Raw genomic sequence first — 26308 nt, 5'->3', positions numbered from 1 at the left:
ATATGCATAAGTCACTGCCATATCATTGGACCATAAACTGCACATATGAATTCCTTTCTTTCAACACACTGGCTTTTAAATACTATTTCTTTATGAATATTTTGTGCAACCTCAACATTAAATCACTAATAAATCAAGATGCTTTCAAGAATATGGTGTCTTTCTTTTCCCCCTCTAATCCATCTTTACTAAAGGAGGAAAAACAGCAATATACATAGATAGGCAGAAACACTATTCTAAATGGGGCTATCACAGAGGGAATTCTTCCCCCCTGACCCCAGGGAACTACCTGAAAGCAGTCCCCCATCCCCCAATACCATAAATTATGCAATCAAATTTTCCACATTTAGACACATCAAGGGGTCAGCTCATCCAAAGTGCAATGGACAAACTGTGCCCTGGGAAAACCACCTTTGTGGCCATGTGCCTATAATGCTAGGTAAGAATTCAGAGGGAATTTTTCAGGCTTTAAGCCTCAGGATAGTCCCTTAGCAGAATTATGAATTTATAATTCTCATTAGGTAAGTGCCACAGTGTTAGAGGATTAACTCAATACACAGCAATTAAGAATATATCTGCCCCCGTTGCTTGAGTCCAGGATTTCGTGACTAGCCTGGCTAACATGGTGAAACCCCGTCTCTACAAAAACTACAAAAATTAGCCGGGTGTGGTGGCGCGCATCTGTGGTCTCAGCTACTCAGGAGGCTGGGCGACAGAGTGAGACACTGTCTCAAAAAAAGAATATATCTGTCTCTATTTAATTCCCTTGTACTCTCTAACAACAGATTCCAAATAATCTGAGTAGTAATCTGAAATTCTAAGTGCCTATTGGAAATCTTTAACCAAGTATACCACAAACCTCAATCAACATTTAAAAACCCACAAAGAAAGGAATAAAAAAGGGCATCCCTCTCCAAGTTGCTTCTCTTCCCACCATGACAATTCATTGACATACCTAGGAAACTCGTATCTTTAATCATTCTGTTCCCTCACTCTCCACATATAATCTGCCGCCAAGTCAAGAGAACCCCTTAAATCTTACTTCTGTTTCCAATTGCCTTGTTTCAGTTCCTATCACCTCTCACTGGAAATAACATAGTGATTCCTTAAAGGATCTCTTTTCTTGACCTCTCTTCCATTTGTTGTGGTAGACAGAACAGAGGCTTAGAATCAGAAAGACCTGGATTCCAATTCTAGTGCTGCCATTTATTAGCAGGGTGACAATCACTAAATTTCTCTGAGCCTTAATTGCCTTATCCATAAAACAATACCTGCTCCTCCTTATGTATGCTGGGGAGAGTCGGTGGAGTGGTAGAGGAAAATACCATACTACCATCACTGAAATCTAGATGCATAACCAGAAACTGGCTTTGGATCAGAACCAGAACTTTGGCTACTAACATTTGATGTCCAAAGGTTTATCAAAATATAAAACAAGCTGAATATTAAACCTAGAAAGCTGGTTATATTTAGGGTTCAGACCTCCAGAATTTCGTCATCAACTTGTTAGGGAACTAATGGCATGCAGGATACTTATCAAGTTACCCCTTGGCTGCAAGGGCAGGATATTCCAGGGAAAACTGACTCACAGGAAAGAGCTTATCCTAAAATCTGTCAACATTTCATTTATTTTGTCATTTTTACTTGTTATAAAAGAGTAAATAAAATATAACATATATACTATTCTTAAACCAACCACAAAACTCAAGTTCTTTTCTTTAGTAGAAAAGTTTTCTGAAAGGGGATAGAAGTTAGACTTAAGTTTTGCTTCCCAAAAGGCACTAACAATTCCATGAGGTTTAGAAAAAATTTTGCCTGAGAACATAAATACCAGGAGCCTAATGCAGAACTTTACCTAGTTAATTGCAATAAAGACTGAAATAGGCTGTGAAGGCTATAAACTCAAAAGCATATAAAAAACCTGACAGTGTCTCAATCTAACAACAGTTCCAACTCTGACACATTCTTTAGAAAAAACAAGTGTTAAGACAAGAAATGAGAAATTCTTTATTAAATTAGTTTAGACATTCAATCTTTTCAAGAGTACAGTAAAACCATAATATTCTTATATGTTTATTTCAATGTTTCAGCAGGCAACTCTAAAAGGGCAAAAAAACTTTCTTTTTTTTTTTTTTTTTTTTTTTTTTGAGACGGAGTCTCGCTCTGTCGCCCAGGCTGGAGTGCAGTGGCGGGACCTCGGCTCACTGCAAGCTCCGCCTCCCGGGTTCACGCCATTCTCCTGCCTCAGCCTCCCAAGTAGCTGGGACTACAGGCGCCCGCCACTACGCCCGGCTAATTTTTTGTATTTTTAGTAGAGACGGGGTTTCACCGTTTTAGCCGGGATGGTCTCGATCTCCTGACCTCGTGATCCGCCCGCCTCGGCCTCCCAAAGTGCTGGGATTACAGGCGTGAGCCACCGCGCCCGGCAAGGGCAAAAAAACTTTCTAAGCAATGATTGGAATGCAAACATTCACTGAAAGCAAAACTCCTGCACATTAATCTTTATATATACACACAGAGATATATGATATAAACTTTTAAAGGAACAGTTAATAAATGATAAAATTATATCACCATTTTGTAACATATAATGAATAGATCGCAGCATGATTATCAACGACTGCTAACATCATGAAAATGGAAATAACTGTGTGTACCGCCAGCCCCACCACCCTAAAAAAAATGTGAATGTGATCAAGCTTGTAGATTCAACTGTCAATTTACAGGAAATGTGAAGGACCAAACAACACATTAAACTACATGTAAAGATGCACTCAGCAAAATTCATACCATGGGAAACAAAACAGAGATAACTGGTTTCTTCAACAAATAAACTGCAAGGAGGAAGAAAACAAAGAAAAAGAGGGCAAGGCAAGAGATGAAGAGAGAACCTACAGGTTAAAAGAAAATACATTAAATCATTAGTAACAATCCACTAGGCTTTCTTTCAGTTATTTTCAATAATTCTGACACTCCCTAAATCTTTCTTCAGTATAAACATTTGCCTTCTAGATAACATCACGAAATAATTCCTCCAGTTTCTTATAATACCTTGGATCAGCATTTATAACAAAGTATTTAAATGACTAATCCTTAATCAGCAATAAAGCTTATTTCTATGTCTCCATAAACATATTTAGAAAAACTGGCCAAGCACAGTAACTCATGCCTGTAATCCCAGCATTCTGGGAAGTCGAGGCAGGAGGACTGATTGCATGAACCCTGGAGTTCAAGACCAGCCTTGGCATTCCCGCGAAACCCCATCTCTACAAAAAATACAAAAATTAGCCGGGGATGGAGGTGCATGCCTGTAGTCTCAGCTACTTGGGAGGATCACTTGAGCCCAGGAAGTCAAGTCTGCAGTGAGCTGAGATCACACCACTGCACTACAGCCTGGGCAACAGAGTGATGCCTTGTCTCAAAAAACAAAACAAAACAAAACAACGTATTTAGAAAACTAAATGTTGAGAAATGGTCAAGTCACAGGAAAAACACTGGACTTTATTTTAGGGAAGGGCAGTGGAGAGGAAAGAAATCAATACTTGGTAGACAATTTTATTAGCATAGAATGTGTTACCTATAACTTAGCTCTTTCACATGTTTTGATATGTTATTTAAAAGTATATTTACAGAAAAAAGTATATTTACTTAGACAATTATAAATTTGCCAGCTGCATGTGTACTCAACGACAGAGCTACATGTTGTGGGAATCTGAGGAACTTTTCTTGTTCTCCTTTATTTTATTCTTTGGCTAGTTCATACAACTTGTAATAATAATAAAAGAAACAACAGTGCCATTGGCCGGGTGTGGTGGCTCACCTGAGGTCAGGAGTTTGAGACCAGCCTGGCCAACACAGTGAAGCCCGTCTCTACTAAAAATATAAAAATTAGCTGGGCGTGCTGGTGGGCGCCTGTAATCCCAGCTGCTTGGGAGGCTGAGGCAGGAGAACTGTTTAAACCCGGGAGACAGAGGTTGCAGTGAGCTGACACAGTGCCACTGCACTCCAGCCTGGGTGACAGAGTGAGACTCCGTCTCGAAAACAAACAAACAGTGCCATTACAGGTAAAAAACAAAAAAGTAGGGGAAATATATTATGCTTTTTTGAATTTTGTGGCATAAAACATTTTCAGGGAAAAAGCTGAGAAAGAAAACAATTTTCTTTCCCAAACATACTTTTGTTCTTCGTACCTCCATATTCTAAGCTACTGCTATTTGTAGCTTTTAACTCTTATCAGTTTAGTATATAGTGAATACATATAACTTACCACAAGGAAAAGCAAAAAACAAAACCACACAGACTGTGCCATAAATGTTACAAATTCAGTGAAAGAGAATTTATTTGTTGTCATCTTCCTGGACTTCAGAAAACTAAAAATTAGTATACTTTTAGGCAAGCTTTTGGTACATTTCCAAAAAGACTAATACTTTTCAGGTGCTGCTAAAATGGGCGAGGGAGGGAATTTTAAAGATGTAAGAAGAGTCACAAGCCTTATACAAAGAAATTGCTGTGTCACCATAATAAATAGAGCTCTTAAAAATCTCAGATTGCATTCCTGGACCTACAGAAATCTGTAATATTCAAAGTTGCAGCATTATTAGCACACTTGTTTTCATTTCTAATCAGCAAACTAAGAAAAGTCTTGCAGTATGAGTGAGCTGCCATCAACTTACTGCTATTCATTGAGAACTGTATTGATATTTCTTTGATTTTTATAGTAATCAACATAAATGTACTTTGATTCTCAAAAAGTTTTAATCACTTCTGATATTTAAACAAGTATTCTAATGATAAAAGTCTATTTCTAATAGCTGATTACTGTGATTACTGAGGACATGCAGAGTTGAGCATATCTACTCCAAAAGATATTTGGGTTATGATCATCAACTATAATTCCAGGTATAGCAGTCTTTTGATTAAAGGACAACACCATTTTATGACATCAGGTTGTACTCTAGAGTTTCGATGACAAAAAAAAATCTTATTCTTTTGTTCTGGCAATAACCTGGCAAAAATTGTCTAGATCAACTTTTACACAGGAATCCAGTAAAAAACTTAACCTGGGGAGGGCTTAAAGAAGAAGGTGCTGTATTGTGGTAAGACAGCACTGTGGCATCTTAAACTGTCTGCCTACCACACCCCCACTCCTAGACTAGCTGTGACAGTAGAGATGGCAGCCTATCACACTCCTGGTATAGGCTGTTAATGCCAGAGGAAGCAACACAGACTTCATATACATATGAGATGGGATCAAGAACCTAAGTAGAAGTCAATTGTGGAAAGGAATGATAACATGATCCCAAAGAAGGATAGGATGGATGAAAAGAAAGACATTTTGAGAAGACAGTGAAGGAAGCTTGTTTTTGATTTGTCAAAGTCTTTCGTTAAAATAACAGGCAGTCAGAAGAGAATGAAGGAGTCTAACGAGAACAGATTAAGTTTGAAATAGCTATTCTTATAGTTTCAGCTCTTTCACTGATCTTGTCAAAGAGAATGAACATGAGAGGAATGAATAAAAAGAAAGCTGAGAAATATTTGAACTCCACTGTAGGTCCTGTTGAAGTGAGCTAGTCTTAGTTCTACCTTATCTGTACTATAGTTACCAATATACTTGTTTGCATCCTCCATAAAATTATAAATTACATGAGGACAGAAAATGTTTACCTTATTCATTAATATATCTCCATGAGCATATGGCACTTAGTAAATACTTCACAAATGAATATGTAGCAGATACAATCCCTGTCATGTTAAACATTCCTTTATGGTTACTGTTTAATAGGTATTATGACTGAGAGGTAAAAAAGTGTTCTTGGCTGATATTTAAGCTGTCTTCCTAGACCTATAAAGAATATTAGACTGCCCTTTTCGGTCAAAGACAGAATCTGCTCAATAAATTAAAAAGACATCAGGGAGAAAATTCAATTGTCTTAGAAAAAAATGTGCCAATTAGGTTTTTTTGGTTATTACTGGATTAGAGGCTGAGTCTGACCTTGAAGTTACTTTAGTAAGAGTTACTTTATCTGAAGCTTTTGGGAAAGGAAATATTCTACACAAATGAAGCTTCCAGATATTAAAAACTTCACTCTACCATTAAGAATCATACTTTTATATTTCTTATTATTTGCATAGAAATATTTAATAAATTCATTTCACATTTATTTGCTGAATGAACATGATCTAGCCTTTTCTTAAGTACACAGAAGTCATCACTGTGCTATCCATCATTATGCCACATAAAATGTTGTCAAAGGGCGTGGGGTGCGGTGGCTCATGCCCGTAATCCCAGCACTTTGGGAGGCTGAGGCAGGCGATCACTTGAGGTCAAGAGTTCGAGACCATCCTGGTCAACATGGCGAAACCCCGTCTCTGCTAAAAATACAAAAATTAGCCAGGCGTGGTGGCAGGCGCCTGTAATCCCAGCTACTTGGGAGGCTGAGACAGGAGAATTGCTTGAACCTGGGAGGCAGAGGTTGCAGTGAGCTGAGATTGTGCCACTGCACTCCAGCCTGGGTGACAGAGGAAGGCTCTGTCTCAAAAAACAAAACAAAAACAAACACAAAAAAAGGTACAAGTCTCTACTTTGAGTAGACCTACATGTTTATACATTTAAATTCTTGTTTTTTTTTTTTTTGTTGTTGTTGTTGCTGTTTCAGTTGACCCTATTTGCTATTATCAAAGTGCTTGTCCACCTTTTAACTTGTTACTCAAATCTGGAGTAGGCAGGGAAACATGTTTATTAAAATTGTCTCACATGAATTTATCACTCAACATTCTTTTGTACTATCTACATCTACCACCATGTACAAATGTTATTTTCACTAAAGAAGGGGGAGAGGCAAAGTTTTGTGTGTGTGTATACGTCTGTGCGTGTGTGTGCGTGTATGTGTGTAAAGAGTAAAAAGATATGGAGTGGGGACTTAGAGGCTACTTTCTACTTAAAGTGCTTAGGGTTTTAGAGCACAGGTTTAGTTATTTGCTGAGACTCAACTATCCTTTTATATAATTATTTATTTATTATTATTTTGCTTTTTTCTTGATTCTCAGCTATGCTTCCCATAACTTGAGATTGCCAAATAAGTAGCTGTTCTAACTAGTTACGTTCCTTAGACATTAAACAGACTTAAAAAAGCAAAAATAAAAAAAATCAGAGTACCAATCTTACTTTTTATAAGTTGAGGCAAAAAATGAGTGAATGTGAGTGAAAGGATTAATACAGGCAAAATACAACAATGACTGCATTTTTATAATATACTTAATATTTAAAAAATTTTATCTATAAACAAATCAATAAAGGCTTATTTCATACAAGTCTTTTCACTGGATATAAAATGGTGCTGCTATTTTCAATCTGACATTACTTGTTTTGCAGATCCCTACCTGCCTTCATAAGCACAGATGTCAAAGTGTAACTCACAACTAAGCAGTATTTAAAAATAATTTCTTTTCCTCTTTTTTTTTTAATCTTGGAGACAAGATCTCATTCTGTCACCCCAAGCTGGAGCGCAGTGGTGTGATCTCAGCTCACTGCAGCCTCGACCTCCCCCAGGTTCATGCAATCCTCCTGCCTCAGGTCTCCCCTGACCCCTAACCCTCAACCCCTCCGCCGCCGCCCAGTAGCTGGGACTACGGGTGTGAACCACCACCCTTGGCTAATTTATGTGGTTTTTTTTGTAGAGATGGGGTTTTGCCATGTTGCCCAAGCTGGTCTCTTCTAGACTCAAGCAATCCACCTGTCTTGGTCTACCAAAGTGCTGGAATTACAGGAATGAGCCACCGCACCTTGCCTTAAAATATTTTCATATTCCTGAATAGAAATTCTGGTACATTAAAAAACATCTGATTTCTCTTGAATATTATTTCATCTAGAATTCTTCACAAGTATTTTTTCTAATATAGTAAATTTTGAGTTTTTAAAAAAGCAGCAAATACTGAATAAAATCTGAAGTGCTCAGCAGAGCTAAAATGAACTAAGTATTTTCCAATAACATTCAACATGAGCAAAGGAATACAAATTTGAAACAAGAAAAGGGCACAAATGTCATCACTGATTTATAAGTAATTAATTTTAAAATATGCATCTATAATGATCTTTTAAAAGGAAACCTTGAGAATGCTGAGGTTCTAATACTAAGCTAGTCTTATGGTTACAGAAAACTTAAATAGCATAACTATTAAGATTTAAACACCAATTTTCTGAAATAAGGCAAAAACGTATTTTCATTACTTGTATTTTCTCCAACGTAAAGTCTATGGGGAAAAAAAGCTGTGAACCACTCCTAAACCCAGAGATCATCTGTTTAAAAATAAGCAGTAAAAAAGTTTCTGCTAAAACCTATGTATACATGTAGAATTCAGGCCTTTCTGTGCTCTTCTATATAAGGTTGCAACCAGAGCAAATTAATGGTGTTCCACAGCAAAGGCACAAAAGCTAGATAAGAATCTTGTTTCACTGCTAGAAATCAGAACTGTAGAAATCACTATAGGCTTTTAAAACGGCAGAATCTTCAAAGAATGAAACCTCTAAAATAGCTAGATTATATCTTATTTTTTCTCAAATGTGAAAAACAGCTCAGGCTTAACCCCAAACAAAACTATCTGAAGCTAAAATGATCAAGTTTATTACAGTCCCCCCAAATATTAAAGAGAGCTCTTAAAAATATAACTTGAATAAGGGCCATGAACTGGTTCAACATGCTTAACAGTGGTTTTATGAATTACAATGAATGCTGCTACTCTCTAAAAATGAATGTATCAAAGAGGAAATAACCTCCTTGGCATGCTTGCAGCTATACAACGTATTTGTTTCACTGCTTTCAACCGCCTGTGCTGGAGGCTCAGAATAAGTCAATGGGAGGAGGATTTCAGTCACAGCAGCAAGCAAGTCTAGTGAACAGATAAGATGACATGCTCAGCAAAATAACAACGAAACCAGAGGTAAGCATTTAATAAACACATATGGAATTAATCTAAAGGTTTTTTTTTTTAATCTTCAAGAATTCTGCTATCATAATCTTTCATTTCTATTCAGCGGTTTAAAAATCAAAATGAAAAATTTACTAATGCTAAAGGAGAGTTTTTAAAAACGTGATTTGTACATTTGATGAACAAATAAATGGTCTAATCTTCCTTTTGGTTTCCCTTTCTTCTCAAGGCAACTGGGAAGGTTAAAAAAATAAACACTACTTAAAACAAAAAAAGAACTGGTTTGAATTTGGCAAATTTAGTGATTAAATTTAGAACACAATTGTTGCAAAGACATACCATGAGAGATGAAATTACTAAACACAATTATTTGGATCCTAGTAATACCTTTTTTTTTCCTTCTCTCAAACTAAAGGAAATCTAAAATGACATTTATATCAGTACTCACAAACCTGATAAGACAAAGCTAATTACATATAAGGATCCCTAGCTGGTAAAACATTTATTTAGACCCTTGTTGGGCTTTGAGTGTTTCTAGGTGGGTGGCCAGCGCATACTAAAAGTTCTATTCTGAACTATTGTGTTTCGACTTTTCTATTCTTCTGTAAGTAAAGGTAAAAAGACATTCAAGGGTCAGGAAACACCTAACTTTTTATTATAACCATTGAAAAAATTAATGTGTCTTCTGTTTCATTAACTGAGCAACATCAGAAATACAGTATATTTGGAGAATTGGCTGCATTGTCACAAATGCACAACAGACTTACTAAGAAGGGAAGGGCTATGAAGTTCAAGTGTTTTTACCACTTTCAGAAATGAATAAAATAATGCAGTCTATGTATTTTGTATCTAGGGGGAACTCTCTGGCATGCAAGTTCAAACACGACTCTACAACTACGGCAGAAAAAGAGAGAGAGAGAAACTAAAAATATATATATATCCTATTTTTTTCACAGCTATCAGTTTCTTTCACTGAGCTTTCCTAAATTTAAGCCTCTAGAAAATAATAAATACTTGGATATCTTACCTACAAACATGGACAGATGTGTGTATGCGCTCATTTTAGAGAACTTGAATTTTTTTTTTTAAAGGAAGGTGTCAACTTTGGCTTTTGAGTGTTTGGCATGGTTACAATGCCTTAAAAAAACAGATGAGCAGCTTAGCTACTAACCATGCTGACCACTGTTCGGAACGGGATTGAATCACAGAAAAACAGCAAATGGCTCTCTCTTACAGAGTGTCTGAACTTCAAAGCACAATTCCTGAGCACATTTTGCAGAGCACCTTTGTTCACGTTATCTCTTCTAACTGGTCTGGATTACAGACAGAATCAATACCAGAGGAAATGAAACAGATTGTTGAGGAACAGGGAAATAAACTGCACTGGGCAGCTCTTCTGATACTCATGGTGATAATACCCACAATTGGTGGAAATACCCTTGTTATTCTGGCTGTTTCACTGGAGAAGAAGCTGCAGTATGCTACTAATTACTTTCTAATGTCCTTGGCGGTGGCTGATTTGCTGGTTGGATTGTTTGTGATGCCAATTGCCCTCTTGACAATAATGTTTGGTAAGTATTTCACTTTGTTTGTGCCATCAAACCACAGAACTATGATATACTATTAGAGAATGGACACTCATTTAATCTTTACTTTTCTTGAAATAAAAGATGAACTTGGACTATTTAAAGATACGGCAAGTAAACAGTCCCTTGTTTTATATCATTCTCTATGGTTGATCAGCAGTTTTAAAGAGCAAAAAATATTTTTTGTAAACTATTTTTCTCCCTCCTAAGCTATCTAATAAAATCATTTAAAAAGTCATTCAAGTTAGTGATATTTATAGATTCTGAATATATTATCTATAAATTATAGTAAATAGGCCTATACTTTAACTTTTCTACACTGATACTTTTTTTCCTCAAAGCAATAACTAGGACACTTCCGGGACAGATATGCGCTGGGTTAACGATAAGGTCTTTGAATTACTAAATCCCAATTTAAATCACTAAACCCCAGTTTAAAATTGGAACTGTCCAAAAATTCTTATTATAGCTCTTAATAGTTTGTATATTATAAACTTGAACACAATTCCTACATATGTGTCATGTTAAGAAAAATTATGTTTAGTTGCTGAAGGAAATGGTTTGGCTCAGAGTGTCCAAAGAGATGATCTATCGATTCAATTTTTTTATGATATATGGGCATCTGTGTTCCTGATAGGCCTCTAAGTTGGTAAGTGGATTAAAACCTAGTTATTGCGATAATAAAAGGTATAGTTTGACACTGAAATCTTAGTTTGCTATAATAAAAAAAAGATATAAGTAGTTCCAGATTTCTGCATATCATCTCTAGTTATAAAATTTGGATAAACACAAATAATTCTGCTGATGAATTATGAGGGCTCCTAGACCCTTGGAATCAGCATTAAAAGGATATTTAACTTATTCAATGCTTGGTATAAACTGATATTCCATTCATAAACTGCCTAAGCAAAATGATTACTTGTGGCAGATATAGTTTCTTAGAATTATATTTACTTATATGAAGATAAAAATATTTTAAGTTACAGAAGTAAAATTTATTAAACTAGAATCCATATTAGAAGGTAAAAAACCCCTGCTATTCCAACTATTATACCCAGGTTTTACACATTACAATTTTATAAGTAATAACAGAAAGATATCTAAAACTATTATCAGATAGTAACAGGTTTACACCTTCCATTTTAAATCAACATTTACCTGGGCTTTAAAATAAATCAAGAAAATTATGTGGCAGGACAAGCAGTAATGAGTAAAGTTCTACTGCTTTAATTAGACTTTCTAATAATTAACAGTCTTTCTATCTCCCTGTTTTATAAATTTGTAATCTTTTAAATAATCTAATGCTGCATGAAACCATGAAAAATAATTAAGAAATCTTACTATAATAGAGAACATAACCCTAATTCTGAATAAAGCTTAAAAGAAAGTATTATGTAGAAATATATATGCATATTTGATAAATACTGTACAGGCATATGATTCTAGCTCTCATCTCCATGTGCATAATAGTAGCTTAAGATGTAAAATCATACTCTTCAAACTGTGCTTTGCTAGGCACACAGAAAATGTCAAAATGCTTATTTCAGACTACCATAAAATTTAATACGTCATTCAATACATGATATTGAAAGAATTATGCAGAAGTGAATTTTAGCTTTAAAATCTTTGAGTCCATAAATATCAAACATCTATTATATGCAAAGTACCATGGTAGATACTTAAATTATCAGCTAAATAGTTAAGGAATCTTAAAAGGCAAAGTACCATAGAATTAAAGTGAGCTAACAAACAAAATACAAAAACAGGTAACAAAGATTTACCTGTTTAATAGATTCCATGTATTCTATAGAAAAATAGGTATCCAGCAGCTGAAAACTTTAAGTGTATATTTAAAATGCTGGTACCCAACATATCCTTAGCAATACAAGTTAGCAGAAAACCCAACATATGTTAACATAAAATATGTGAAATGTCTTCATATTTATGTCTTAAATAATTGATAGACATTTTAATATTATTTCATTCTTCCAAATGTTTATTAACTTTAAATTTATTTTTATTTATTTATTTTAATAGAGATGGAGTCTGGCAATGTTGCCTGGGCTGGCCTCAAACTCCTGGGTTCAAGTGATCCTCTGCCTTCAGCCTCTTAAGTAGCTAGGATTACAGGCACATTCCACCATGCCTGGCTCATGTTTGTTAATTTCTAATTACAAAATAAAATATTTTATAGCCCCAAACACTTTTACTATCAGAAATAAGTTGTATAGTGGGGTTTGTAGATTTTTAAAAAATGAACAAATCTGTGAACTACTATCTAATACATTATTGCATTATTTAAAGCATAATTCAATTTCTATGAAAAAATGTAGGAAAAAAACACATGTTGCCCTCTAACAAACTTCAAAGGATGAATTCATAAATTGGGAACTGCATGTATTACAAATGGAAACCTGACTTCAAATACCAAGATATTTTTATAACCTTTTGCAAGTTAATAAACACAAAGATTTTTCTAAACTAATGCATTTATAAGAACTTCTGATAACTTTAAAAGGCAGAATTAGACTTTACACTCTTATTGTAGTGTTAATCTTTAGGACTTCTAACGTTTGTACAAACAAGCGTTCTTGGTTCTATGATAAAAGATTAACTATCACTATGAGCAATAATTTTAGCTATCGCAGGGGAATTCAATGAAAGTAACACAAAAACTATACTAGCTCGTAGTCTAATAAAATGAAATTTTAAAAATAAGAGCAGTAAAATATAAAAGTGGACCTTCTGTCCTTATACTGAGAGATATTTTATTCAACCACTGATCTGTATAATATTTAACAATATACGGTTTGAATTCATATTTTCCCAAGATTATGACAACTCAGGCACAACATTGTCTTTCAAATGAGTTGTGCTAGGTCAATTTTTCTGCCACTTCTTCCTATCTGGGAGCACTGGACTTGATCTTTACAGTTGTAGTTTTTTATTGTCTTGTCCATAATTCCTAAAATCCATGATCACAAATCAACAGCTTATAACACAAGGCTTGAAAATACCTACGTTAGAAATACTTGAGCAAGAAAACAACACCTTATGCTGATATAAAAAAGACAGGATGTTCACCATTTAAGAGCTTCTCTGAATCTTTGTTTCATTTTATAAGTGATTTAAAAAGTAACAGGGGAGGCTGGGCACGGTGGCTCATGCCTGTAACCCCAGCACTTTAGGAGGCTGAAACGGATGGATCACCTGAGGTCAGGAGTTCGAGACCAGCCTGGCCAAGATGGCGAAACCCTGTCCCTACTAAAAATACAAAAATTAGCTGGGCATGGTGGTACGCGCCTGTAGTCCCAGCTACTCGGGAGACTGAGGCAGGAGAATAGCTTGAACCCGGAAGACAGAGTTGCAGTGAGCCGAGATGGTGCCACTGCACTCCAGCCTGGGTGACGGGGTGAGGCTCTGTCTCAGGGAAAAAAAAAAAAAAAAGTAACACGGGAAGATATGGCATCTGGCCATCCATTGGGTGTTATTGGTTTATTTATAAGTTTTTTTTTTTTTTTTTTTTTTGAGACGGAGTCTCGTTCTGTTGCCCAGACTGCAGGGCAGTGGCATGATCTCAGTTCACTGCAACCTCCACCCACAGGTTCAAACGATTCTCCTGCCTCAGCCTCCCGAGTAGCTGGGACTACAGGCGCAGGCCACCACACCTGGCTAAGTTTTGTATTTTTAGTAGAGATGGGGTTTTGCCACTTTGGCCAGGCTGGTCTTGAACTCCTGACCTCAGGTGATCCACCTGCCTCGGCCTCCCAAAGTGTTGGGATTACAGACATGAGCCACCAAACCTGGCTATAACTTAAGTTTCAATTGATGCCTCATGATCTATAAGTTCAAACAGTATCCGTGGTATAGCTGAAAGAGTATATAAAATGGCTGAAAGATGGCTGTTTGAAGCAAGACATCCCAGGGTCTGAATCCTGGTTCTCCCGTGTTGGATCAGGCAAGTCACTTATTATTTCAGAGTTCAATCACTTATTATTTCAGAGCTCAATCACCTTGTCAAGCAGGGCCCAGCATCTTATAAGCACTAATAGTAACTGGTAGAGTACTGCATGCAAATTAAATATGATTTAGTTGAGATGCAAGTCTAATCAGAGATGAAACAAATGTATAGCAGTAAGAGAAAAATGGCAGTTATTCATTTATGCAGTAAAATGTTAGCCTACCCAATTCTGAAATGGAGGAGAAAAGCAATGAATTAAAGGCACTTCTTTTTGTAAAGTGGAAATTTTAAAAACCAGGAAAAAATTCTGTAAGCATTAAAATGCTTAAAACATTTAAAACACTATCATATTAGACACTGAACCCCAGGATAACTCATATGCTCAAATGTAGTGAAAAAAGTAAAAAACAAAACAGAAACTTTTAAACAATAATTTGAACTGAACTATGTCTTTCTTTTCTGGAAGATAAAGACAGAAGCATTAGAATTTCTGAGATAAATGTATATTTGAAAATTATGTTCTTTTTGGACATAAGAAGTATTTATGATTTGTCCTGCTGCAATAAGTTCATGAACTGAGTACCTCTGTAAACTATAGGAACAGCCCACTTGGAATGCCTTTAAAAATAGTCTTTTACATCCTCCAAAGGGAAACATTTTATGTCCCAGATTTATGGACTGATGCTAATTATTTTCCGGACAAATAGTGTAACCTGACTTCCCAAACTAAAAAGCTGCCCAAAGGTTAAGCAGGTTTCAGATAAAATAAGTCTGCCTCATCAAGATACGGGGTTTCTAGTAAAACTCCTCAGGTTTTTGTACTAATTCAAAAGAAAGCAAAAACAAACAAAAAAATACCCAAACCAACAAAAAACCCAGGCATGCAATGCATACAGGTTATTTTCCTGTACCGTATATAAAATAAACAGCAGTTAAAATTCAACGTTAGTAAAAAACATACTTTTATGACAAATTCAATTGAAAGTTAAACAGAGTTAACTGTTCTCAGCCCATCCTCCCTCACCCCCGGAAAGTACAGCTTAAAGTTTTAAGCTGAATCAGATGCATGCACTTTTGCTACAGCAGGTAGAAAGACAAACACTCTTATTTCATACTGATGATTTGGCTTGTTTCTATGTAGGAGTGTTTTCATGGTTGAGTTAGTTGGCTAGTTTCTGTTAAACAATAGTAATAAGCACTAACATTTATTGAGTGTTTTCTTTATGCCAGGAACTGTTCTAAACACTTCACATGTATTTAATCATCATCCATATAAACTCTATTAAAGAAATCCTATAAAACAGGTACTATTATCCCCACTTTACAGAGGACAGAGAAGCAGAGGGATAAGTAATCTGTTCAAGATTACAAAGTAAGTGGCAGAGACATGATTTAAACCCAGGAGGACTGATTCTAGAATTCACACTCTTAACCTTTATTATTCCGCTTTCTCAAATGTCAATGAGAAATCTGACCAGCCAAAACTGTCATATTTGGCATACAGAACCAACATTTATACCTTAAATAACCCCATGTAACTGTTCAGAGGATCACAGAATTTTTTCCCCCCTAGGGACAAGTTAGAACTCAGTATTCTTTTCAGTTAAAGTTATATTTCATATTAAGTGGAAAAGAATACTTGTGCGTCAACCTATACTTGTACAAATCCTTCAGATGACTGCAAGATCTCTTTTCTGTGGAAGGTATTAGACCTAGGCCCATACCTATGAAGTTGTTGAACCTTGTCTGGGAGACAAATAAAAATTTATATAACTGAATGACAACTCCTACCATCCCTCATGCATGGCAGAATTTAAAGCAGTCTTCATTTTAAACAATAAAATATTTGTGCTACTGATATTCTTTAGATAATTAAACAATTGTCTATAAGACAAGACCCATCTAGGACTTGTTTTGTTGCTTTAATATTCAGTCTGTAATTATTTCAGGCATTGACAGAAATGCTATTATTCTTTCTTAATTTTAATGAAAGAGTCTAATTTAGAGCCCCAGAATAACAGTAATTTAGTTGAAGAACCTAGTAACTTGTTTCCCTCAGACTGACCCTTAGATACACATTTCTTTCTTTCCATTTAAGTATGTAACTGTTTCACTTCATTATTTCAAATTTTCAATGTCTTAAGTCTTTGTGGAAGTATATTGGACAGAATACATTATAACAAATAATGTAATTAGAAATTCTTAAAACCAAAACTCCTAAAATAAACGTTTTGAAATAAAGTATTTCACCATACCAACTTAACCTTTAATTTAGTTATTCTAAACAGAAATAAACTTTTCTGACTTTGAGCTAAATTAATACTAACTAAAAAATGATTTTAGAATGAAAGTCTCTAGACTAGGAAAAGCCCCTTTATAAAACAAGTGTGTCTAGAACTGTTTTTAATTTCTATAAATTCTTAGATTACCCAAATATATTAGGCATTTAAAAAAGCCTCTTTTTCTTTTTTGTGTTGTATATAAGGTTTCTATTAATTTAATGCAGTTATCTTTTTCTTTTATATTAGTTTCATTAAAACTATCCACCAGTGTTTCACGAAACTTGAAATGAGAAAGGCTTGGAATTGTAAAGATTCATCTCTCTTATAAATTTCAGTCTCATTCTTTCTTAAAGAAAATTCTGTATCACATCTCAATATTTCTGTTAACAATAAAGCACTAACTGTAATAAGAAAATTCTAGTGAATTTTAAGTGGGAATGAGTTTATAAATTCTGTTTAAAGTGAGGCTAACAGGGCTTCATAGGGTTACTTAAATCAGCACTAAAAAACTTTCCTTCTTAGCCCACAATTAGGAGTATGTGGATCAGATGGTCAAATTCCAAAGACACGTACTTTTTATATGAATTTTCTTATGGCTTCCTGCTTATGGCAACTAGATTTATGACTAGAATTTTCCAAACCTTAATCTTCAGAAGTATAATCCATAACTAGAATAGCTAAATAGACAGGTTTAAATAGTTGGCAAACTATTTTAAAAGATGTTACAGAGAGAGTAAGGACTTCAAGGAAGGAAATCTAAGATATAACACAATAATTACCTGCCTTTTAAATCCTTAACTGCAATCAATATCTCTGATTATAGCTCTAGACGAGTATTTTCCTACCACCCTACTTACAGTCCTAAATCTAGAACTTCAGCTCAAGATGTACCCTCATTTTTAGTAGTTTCCACTGCAAACTCTAAAATGATTCTTTTCACTATACTTAGACTGTTAGTTCGCTTTGAAGCTGCCTGTGTCCAAGGTCCTTTTCCACTAAATGACAAAAAATCTGAATGCTATGGCTAAGAGTGAGAAAATCCAATTGATTAGATTTTCTCCAAACACCAGTTTCTCTGACTTAATTTATTCTGAGAGGCCTCCCATTAGTTCCTTTCCATGAGACATTCCAAGTGCCTATAACCAACCCTACAACAGGAAACTTAGGTGCATCTTTTAAGACTCAGACACAAACCTTACCAGAAAGTCTTCCAAAGCACTGCTTCTCAAATGTTAATTTGCATACGAATCACCTGGAAACCTTATTTAACTGCAGAGTCTGATACAGTAGGTCTGAGATGAGACCCAAGAGCCTGCATATCTAAGTACCCAGGTGATGCCGATCCTCACTCTCCATCTTAAGAGCAAACTCTGAGTGGCAGTTCTAAATAACACTTTCAGATAACATTTACATTTCAATAAATAAATGCCTCCCCTCCTTACCTCTATATTCAGACTTAATTATACCTGAATTTACTCATCTGCAAGATCAATGGTAATCTCTAAGGTTCCTTCCAGCTCAATAAATCTAAAATTTACCACCTCTATCCCTTCCTACCCCCAATTCAACAAGCAGGCAAAGTTTATTTACAGTAATACACTGAAAAGTATGAATGACCCTTTCCACTTGATGCTTTAATCCCTTTTTAAGAAGCTGCTGAACATAGAACTAAGTCCCAATCATTTATTCTTTCTGAGTAAAAGTTTGTGCTGATTTTGTTATTTTGTTCCTAGGAAGAAATATTTTAATATTCTTATTCAGAATGCCACATACCAACTCTGGAAACAGAAGGCACCAAAAAGTAGATGTGTCAGCCTTGCTACCTTCTGGATACTTTGTCAAGTGCCCAGATATTTTTCACTGAAATCCTACCTGACTTTAAAAAAATCTCCTACTTGATGCTTGAAAATAACAGCCAAATCTATCTAAAAACTCTGCCCCTAAATTATGCTTTTTTTTTTTTTGGTCTGAGATTTTAATCTCTCTCCACCCCCAGGCTCCTTAAATTTTAAACAGTTAACAATAGAAGAGTCTCTTGTTGTTCTGTAATCCTGAGATGATTATTCTGGTTTTCCTTCAATTATGACAATCACTTTATACCTGTCAAAGTCAGATATACCTGCAATAGCCAGAAGAAAAGTAGATTACATTTTATCAGTGGACATATAACAATCAAATCCTAAAAGAGACTTAGATAATCTCACATGCATGACATCTGTTCTCTACAGGAGTTAAACTGGATTCTAATGGAAATATTCTAGGGGGAATTCTAAAATTTTAGTTGTTTTGAAACTGTAAACATGTTAAGTGGTGGGTGTAATATATAATGCATAATATATTAAATTCACATATGTATGAACATCTGTGTAAGTAAATTTATTAGAAAACTATGCAGAATATTCAATATCACATCCACACCTAAAATTTTTTTAAGGTTAATATTTCTAAAGTGCTTAAGACTATATGAAGTATGCAGTGTTTTATAAGAGTTTGTTAAATAAATTAAGTACTACGTCTAACCCTGAGATTTTCTTTTCAAATCAAAAGTCTGTACTAATTATTTTATCTCCAGTTTTTGGAGTGAATGATGAAATATAGAAGGGGAAACAATCTACTTTTCTTCCGGATAATCTGAAGCCATTCCTTTTGCAATCTTTATTTGAGAACTATTTCTGTCAAAAAAATCACTCCACTATTTCACCAAACTAGAGTATGCTATAAACAAGGATCTTGCTGCTAGTTATTGCTAGAAGTGAGCCCAAAACCCAGGTGTCACAGAGACTCCCATTCTAATACGCTTTTTGTCATACTGTTTCCTCTACATGGTAAAATGTTTTCTTTTTATACAACAGCTACTTAAAAATAAATTTTATTTAAATACCAAGGTTAAGTTCCAGTCACAATACTACATAAATTTTAAAAAGATCACAAATGGAATCGACAAAAGAGCAAAGGTCATAATAATGCTAAAAAGTTAAACTGCTGCTGACTTAGAAAAAAGGCACAATTATTATGCAAAATAGAAAATGTATTTAAAAGTTACCATCCACAGAAATATTGAATTTAATGTTGTCTCCATTATCTGAAGTTAAACATTATGTTGTTAAAGTTATAAAATTTCAGATGAGTAACAAAAAAGACAAAAGATGTATCACCTGAAAAACTGTAGACTGAAAGTTGCCATTTTATAGAATAAAATGTTTGTCTTGTTTTTGTTTCTTTCAGAGGCTATGTGGCCCCTCCCACTTGTTCTATGTCCTGCCTGGTTATTTCTTGACGTTCTCTTTTCAACCGCATCCATCATGCATCTCTGTGCCATTTCAGTGGATCGTTACATAGCCATCAAAAAGCCAATCCAGGCCAATCAATATAACTCACGGGCTACAGCATTCATCAAGATTACAGTGGTGTGGTTAATTTCAATAGGTATGTAGAGAATGCCAGAGTGTGGGTGGTATACAAAATCTTTGGTTCCACTTGGCTAGGAGAATACCAGGTCTGGTAGGCAATGAAACTCAGCATGAGAGGTCAAGCCAGCCTACTGATACATTAACATAAGCTCCTTATGTCACTGCATTTATCATACGCCTTCTAAAACATACTGTTGGTAAAAAGTGTGACAAGTAACAAAACTCATGTCCTCAGAAAGAACCATCTGCACAGTGTTTATTGAGATTTCTTTCTGCTTAGATTTCTATATGCAGAAAGGTTAAGTTTGAGAACAGTCTTCATATTTCCCAACAGATAATTATGGTCTAGCTAGCATTTGGAATCCTGTAATTACATTAAAATAACAAGAAATGCACCTTAAATCACATTTTAAAAGATTAATAAGAGAAAAAACAAAAATAACAACTCAAACATTTTGTGGGCAGGTATCAAAGAACACAAATTCATCTTGGAAGCCAACATTTCTGTACATATGTGTACAGATTAAAGGCAGTTAAGTGTCTGCTTCAGTGGGTTTTTTTGGTTTGTTTTTTCTTTTTTGGAGACAGGGTCTTGCTCTGTCACCCAGGCTAGAGTGCAATGGCACAATCATGGTTCACTGCTGCCTCGACTTCCCGGGCTCAAGCGATCCTCCCACCTCAGCCTCCCAGGTAGCTGGGACTACAGACACACCCCCCATGCCTGGCTAATTTTTGTATTTTTGGTAGAGGTGGGGTTTTGTCATGTTGCCCAGGCTGGTCTCAAACTCTTGAGCTCTGGCGATCCCCCTGCCCCAGCCTCCCAAAGTGCTGGGATTACAGGCGTGAGTCACTGCACTTAAGTGTTTTGAGTATGTTTAATTCAAAGTTTTAAGAGAGATGCAAAGAAAACATACCGATGTTCAGAAATTATGTATAAAAGAAATCCTTTTTCTTCTAAATCGTCTTACGGCCCTGTACTCATCTATAATACTCAAAGCTATACTTCTTATCATGAAGTATGCGTAAATCATTCAAAACTCTTATATGTTAGTATCAGAAAAACAAATAGATTTGCAAAAATTACAATGGTTTGACCAGCAGATTCTCTTCTTCCTTGTAAAAATATTTCAAAGAGGCAAAAAATTAAGAGACCTGGAATACTTAAATTACTCCTCCCTAATCTGAGTAGGGGCACTGGGGCAAAAACAGCAAGAAAGCAAAACAATGAGATTGACCTTCATATTCCTGAAATGATGATATAAGGGCTTGATCTCTTTGAAAAAGTTTGGAGGTAAAAGCAAGCTGTGTTACTCCTCTGGTATGGGAAGAAAACAGGGTCAAGAAAAAGTCTATTCAGAATGAAGAGATTTAAAAACAGTGAGAAAAGGCTAGATGAGGGGGCAGATGCCGACAGAGCAGAACCAGCCCCCCAAAAGCAGCTACAGAAAGGGAATGGGAGACAATGGGTGAAAATTAAAATTTGAAGTGCAGAGGAGGAAAACTATAATAAAGTCATTTATGCCAGATGACTCACATTTGGTAAGCTCACTGCAATGAGGGAGAGGGCAAGGGAGAGTGTGAGGTATGTGTATATTGGGGTGGGGTGGGAGAGTTGGACAGAGAAAGGGAAAAAAAGTTGAAGAAATGGATCCTTAAGAATAATTAAAATATTTGAAACTGTGAAATGTGATCAAGCTAATAAGGTAAGCAGCCTGCTGGTATAAATGGCATCTAGATTAAGGCTGGATACCATCAATTTATAAATTGACCACATTTTTATTGAGTGTTTATAATGTGCTAGGTACTAAGAATACACAGATGATCAAGAAAAAGAATCTTTGCATTCAAGAAAGGCGGACATATAAACAAATTACACTAACACAAAGTGATGAGTGATGCAGGAGAAAAAAGATTAAAAGGAAGACTCATGATATATAGATTTAGAAATCCACTTCTTCCTTTTGTAGGTAAGAAAAAAGAAACCTAGAGGTTTTAATCAGTTGGCTTAAGAACTCTTACAGCTTTTCAGCACCAAGGCCAAAATCAACGCTCTTTCACTTCATTGCACTTTGTCTTGTAGAACCGATCACAAATTAATAACTTTGAAAAAATGAAAATGCAGATGACAATAAGCTCAGTTCTGAAATTCTACAAAATGCTGAAGAGAGCTCACTCTCTTCTTTTGGATTTACAGTTATTCTAGGTAATACCTGGCAACAGAAAGTATAATAATATAACAGGGTAAGGGCATAAAAAGTACCAGTGAAAACTTTTACAGTTATTGACCAACAAGCTGGATAGGAAAGTAGTGTGAGTCCTGATATTAACAGAATGTAAAAACTGAGATGAATGAAGTCTCATTAATAGAATGAGTTAATAGAATGTGAAAACTGAGATGAATGAATGAACTAGAGATAAAAATAACAGGAAACAGAAGTTCTCTAGGAGTGAGGGGTAGCAGGACAAGGAAGGGAAGTATTAGAGTTCATAATCTTAGGGATTGTTCTAAGTAGACTTGTAGATGGCTTTAGTGCAAATAATAATAATTAGAGTCAAAGAGTTCAAGAAATATAAAATTAAGGTCTTAGAAGGGTCACGAATGGGATGAAGTAGAAAATGCTGGCACTGGAACAGTGGAGAGAAGACTATAGCAGGTACTGAAGCCATTGATGAAGATGAACAAATGTCATGGAGGTTAACAGAAAAGCAAGATGGAGAAGAAAGTATTAAGTAGATAAAATAAACTTCAAAAGGCAAGTGTTTTGGGGGAGAAATAAACAGTGGAATGGTGATCTGAAAGTAACAGGGTAAAGCAGGGGTCAGCAAACTTTTTCTATAAAGGGTAAGACAGCAAATATTTTGGGCTTGCAGGGCGTATATGGTTTCTGTCACAGCTCCTCCATTCTGCTGCAGTAGAACAAAAGCAGCCACAGACAATATGTTACTAACAAATGGGAGTGGCAGTATGCCAATAAAACTTTTACAAAAATAGAATGTGGGCCAATGGTCCTCAAACTGTAGTATAATGACCCCTGGTGTAGAACAAGTATACAGAATCCTCTTTCTGGTGGTGTACATGAGGAAAAGTAGAGAAAGTAATGACCTCTGTTAGAAAGGGTTTGAGGAACATATTCTTGTCAATGGCTCTTTAGCTACCATAAAAAGGGTGTGTAGATGAGGGGTGCTCTTGGATTCACAAAACAACACAAGGATTCCAGAGGTTTCTAAAGATCAATTAATTCAGACATTTAAAAAATATCTGCTGTTTCAAAGGAAAAAGATTCAGGTTAACCCCTGTATTATTTGTCTTTCTAATAAGCTACTTCACTAAGAAACATCATATTTAAATACTTCATGGTATTTAAAGATCAGAAAACTAACATGAGGTATATTTCTTTCCCAGGTCATAAAAGAACTTTTTTTTTGAGACAGAGTCTTACTTTGTCGCTGAGCGTGGAGGGCAGTGGTGTGATCTCGGCTCACTGCAACCTCGGCCTCCTGGGTTCAAGTGATTCTCCCACCTTAGCCTCCTGAGTAGCTGGGAGTACAGGCGCGTGCCACCATGCCTGGCTAATTTTCATATTTTTAGTAGAGATGGGGTTTCGCCATGTTGGCCAGGCTTGTCTCAAACTCCTGACCTCAAGTAATCCACCCCCACTTGGCCTCCCAAAGTGCTGGAATTACAGGCATGAGCGCCACTGTGCCCAGGCTTCTACAGAAGAAGAAAGATTAAGAACTCATAATCTTTCAACATCATGATTCACACACACTCAAATTTTAAGTAGCACTTTTTAATGAACTTTAGTTTTCCCTAAGAAGTTAGATGGAAAGGATTAAAAGACATTCACACATATCAAAAGGAAAAACTGTTAAATGAAACTGTAACCTCAAAGACAAAACTGAGTAAAGATATTGAATAAATGTACTCTGAAGTGCCTCTAGATCAACTACACTGGATAATAAGAAAAAAGCAGGTTCTCTTCTGAATTTCTCTTCCTTAATCTGAGATAGCTTAAAAAACAAAAATAGATTATGAGAAATGTAGAATAAATGAAGACATTCTCCACTGTATCATGGATATACTATAGCTTTAGGGGAGCTTTCATTATAAATCTGAAATTACTAACCAATCTCCGTTTAAAAACAGATTTGCTCACTTAGGTTCTGTTTGTCAAATCTTCACTGATGAATGCTTCGACAAATCCTGCATTGTGGGTCCCAGGAATTATAATGCACCAACAAGCATAAAGTTATAAGGATACAATCCAAAAGGATCTAATCGAAGAGTTACAGGTCATAAAATGACTCAATTTATCTTGTTTTCCTCTTCCTTAGGCATTGCCATTCCAGTCCCTATTAAAGGGATAGAGACTGATGTGGACAACCCAAACAATATCACTTGTGTGCTGACAAAGGAACGTTTTGGCGATTTCATGCTCTTTGGCTCACTGGCTGCCTTCTTCACACCTCTTGCAATTATGATTGTCACCTACTTTCTCACTATCCATGCTTTACAGAAGAAGGCTTACTTAGTCAAAAACAAGCCACCTCAACGCCTAACATGGTTGACTGTGTCTACAGTTTTCCAAAGGGATGAAACACCTTGCTCGTCACCGGAAAAGGTGGCAATGCTGGATGGTTCTCGAAAGGACAAGGCTCTGCCCAACTCAGGTGATGAAACACTTATGCGAAGAACATCCACAATTGGGAAAAAGTCAGTGCAGACCATTTCCAACGAACAGAGAGCCTCAAAGGTCCTAGGGATTGTGTTTTTCCTCTTTTTGCTTATGTGGTGTCCCTTCTTTATTACAAATATAACTTTAGTTTTATGTGATTCCTGTAACCAAACTACTCTCCAAATGCTCCTGGAGATATTTGTGTGGATAGGCTATGTTTCCTCAGGAGTGAATCCTTTGGTCTACACCCTCTTCAATAAGACATTTCGGGATGCATTTGGCCGATATATCACCTGCAATTACCGGGCCACAAAGTCAGTAAAAACTCTCAGAAAACGCTCCAGTAAGATCTACTTCCGGAATCCAATGGCAGAGAACTCTAAGTTTTTCAAGAAACATGGAATTCGAAATGGGATTAACCCTGCCATGTACCAGAGTCCAATGAGGCTCCGAAGTTCAACCATTCAGTCTTCATCAATCATTCTACTAGATACGCTTCTCCTCACTGAAAATGAAGGTGACAAAACTGAAGAGCAAGTTAGTTATGTATAGCAGAACTGGCAGTTGTCATCAAACATAATGATGAGTAAGATGATGAATGAGATGTAAATGTGCCAAGAATATATTATATAAAGAATTTTATGTCATATATCAAATCATCTCTTTAACCTAAGATGTAAGTATTAAGAATATCTAATTTTCCTAATTTGGACAAGATTATTCCATGAGGAAAATAATTTTATATAGCTACAAATGAAAACAATCCAGCACTCTGGTTAAATTTTAAGGTATTCGAATGAAATAAAGTCAAATCAATAAATTTCAGGCTTTAAAAAGAACCACTGTCATCATAAAATTTATTTGGTTTCTAATTATATGCAAAGTTGTGCTAAGAATGAAATAAAACAAAACAAACATTAGCCTTGCCTTCCAGGTCTTAAAAGCATAAGGCATGATACAGAACAAAAGGAACACAGAGCTAAAAATAAGTGCACAAAACAGTGATCACATCTGGAGGTGAGTTAAGATTGCCATTTATAGTCTGATTTAGTTGAATGCAGTCATAATTTTCCTCTGATCAGGAAACTGTTTTGATGGAAGGGATAGGGAGGATAGTAGCTGGATATCACACAAAATAACAAGAACTTGGAACTAGACCTGTTTGTTAAATGACTGATATTGAGCTTCTACTCAGCACAGGTAGGTCTATTGGAGAAGGAGGAAAAAGCAAATAAAATCGCTCTTGGGTACCTGAACCACATTAGGTTTCTTAGAGATATTAATTAACGTGCACAAGCATGGGATCTTAATCAGGGATACAAACTTTAAGTGAGATCATGCCTGCCTATGTATGCTTGTCCAGTGACTCAAGTGAACTTCCAGCACAAAATTTTTTATTCATCCTTTCAGTATATTATTTTGCACTGTTAGATCTCAGAATGAGTCCAACCTGTGCCACTTACCAGAC

The 26308-nt window shown here is 35.7% G+C and overlaps 2 protein-coding genes and 1 pseudogene across 8 annotated transcripts in view; 1 reads left to right on the top strand and 2 right to left on the bottom strand.

Annotated features, from left to right (window-relative positions):
• Nucleotides 1–26308, bottom strand: part of PSMD1 (proteasome 26S subunit, non-ATPase 1) — a 115961-nt gene that overhangs the window by 38919 nt on the left and 50734 nt on the right. The window lies entirely within an intron of this gene.
• Nucleotides 279–447, bottom strand: RNU1-93P (RNA, U1 small nuclear 93, pseudogene; annotated as a pseudogene).
• HTR2B (5-hydroxytryptamine receptor 2B) lies at nt 8867–25679 on the top strand. Of its 5 annotated transcripts, none has more exons than XM_006712482.4 (4): nt 8867–8937; nt 10250–10496; nt 19980–20180; nt 24500–25679. In XM_006712482.4, the coding sequence occupies exons 1-4, from the start codon at nt 8908–8910 to the stop codon at nt 25390–25392; spliced, it is 1371 nt and encodes a 456-aa protein (XP_006712545.1). In that variant the 5' UTR covers nt 8867–8907; the 3' UTR covers nt 25393–25679. The 5 variants fall into 5 exon arrangements, with proteins under 5 accessions (XP_006712545.1, NP_001307687.1, NP_000858.3 ...); NM_001320758.2 differs by having other exon boundaries at nt 10162–10496; NM_000867.5 differs by having other exon boundaries at nt 9779–10496.

The sequence above is a fragment of the Homo sapiens genome, chromosome 2 (genome assembly GCF_000001405.40).
Source record: "Homo sapiens chromosome 2, GRCh38.p14 Primary Assembly".
Taxonomy (NCBI): domain Eukaryota; kingdom Metazoa; phylum Chordata; class Mammalia; order Primates; family Hominidae; genus Homo; species Homo sapiens.
Note: the sequence above shows the minus strand (reverse complement) of the source record. Positions and strands in the feature narration are given on the sequence as shown.

What these genes read in the sequence shown, in the direction of transcription:
- HTR2B (NM_000867.5), top strand. Translation starts at nt 10,145, where the DNA reads ATGGCTCTCTCTTACAGAGTGTCTGAACTTCAAAGCACAATTCCTGAG. An exon ending in CCTCTTGACAATAATGTTTG is followed by an intron (nt 10,497 to 19,979) that starts GTAAGTATTTCA and finishes TGTTTCTTTCAG; the next exon opens with AGGCTATGTGGCCCCTCCCA. An exon ending in GGTGTGGTTAATTTCAATAG is followed by an intron (nt 20,181 to 24,499) that starts GTATGTAGAGAA and finishes CCTCTTCCTTAG; the next exon opens with GCATTGCCATTCCAGTCCCT.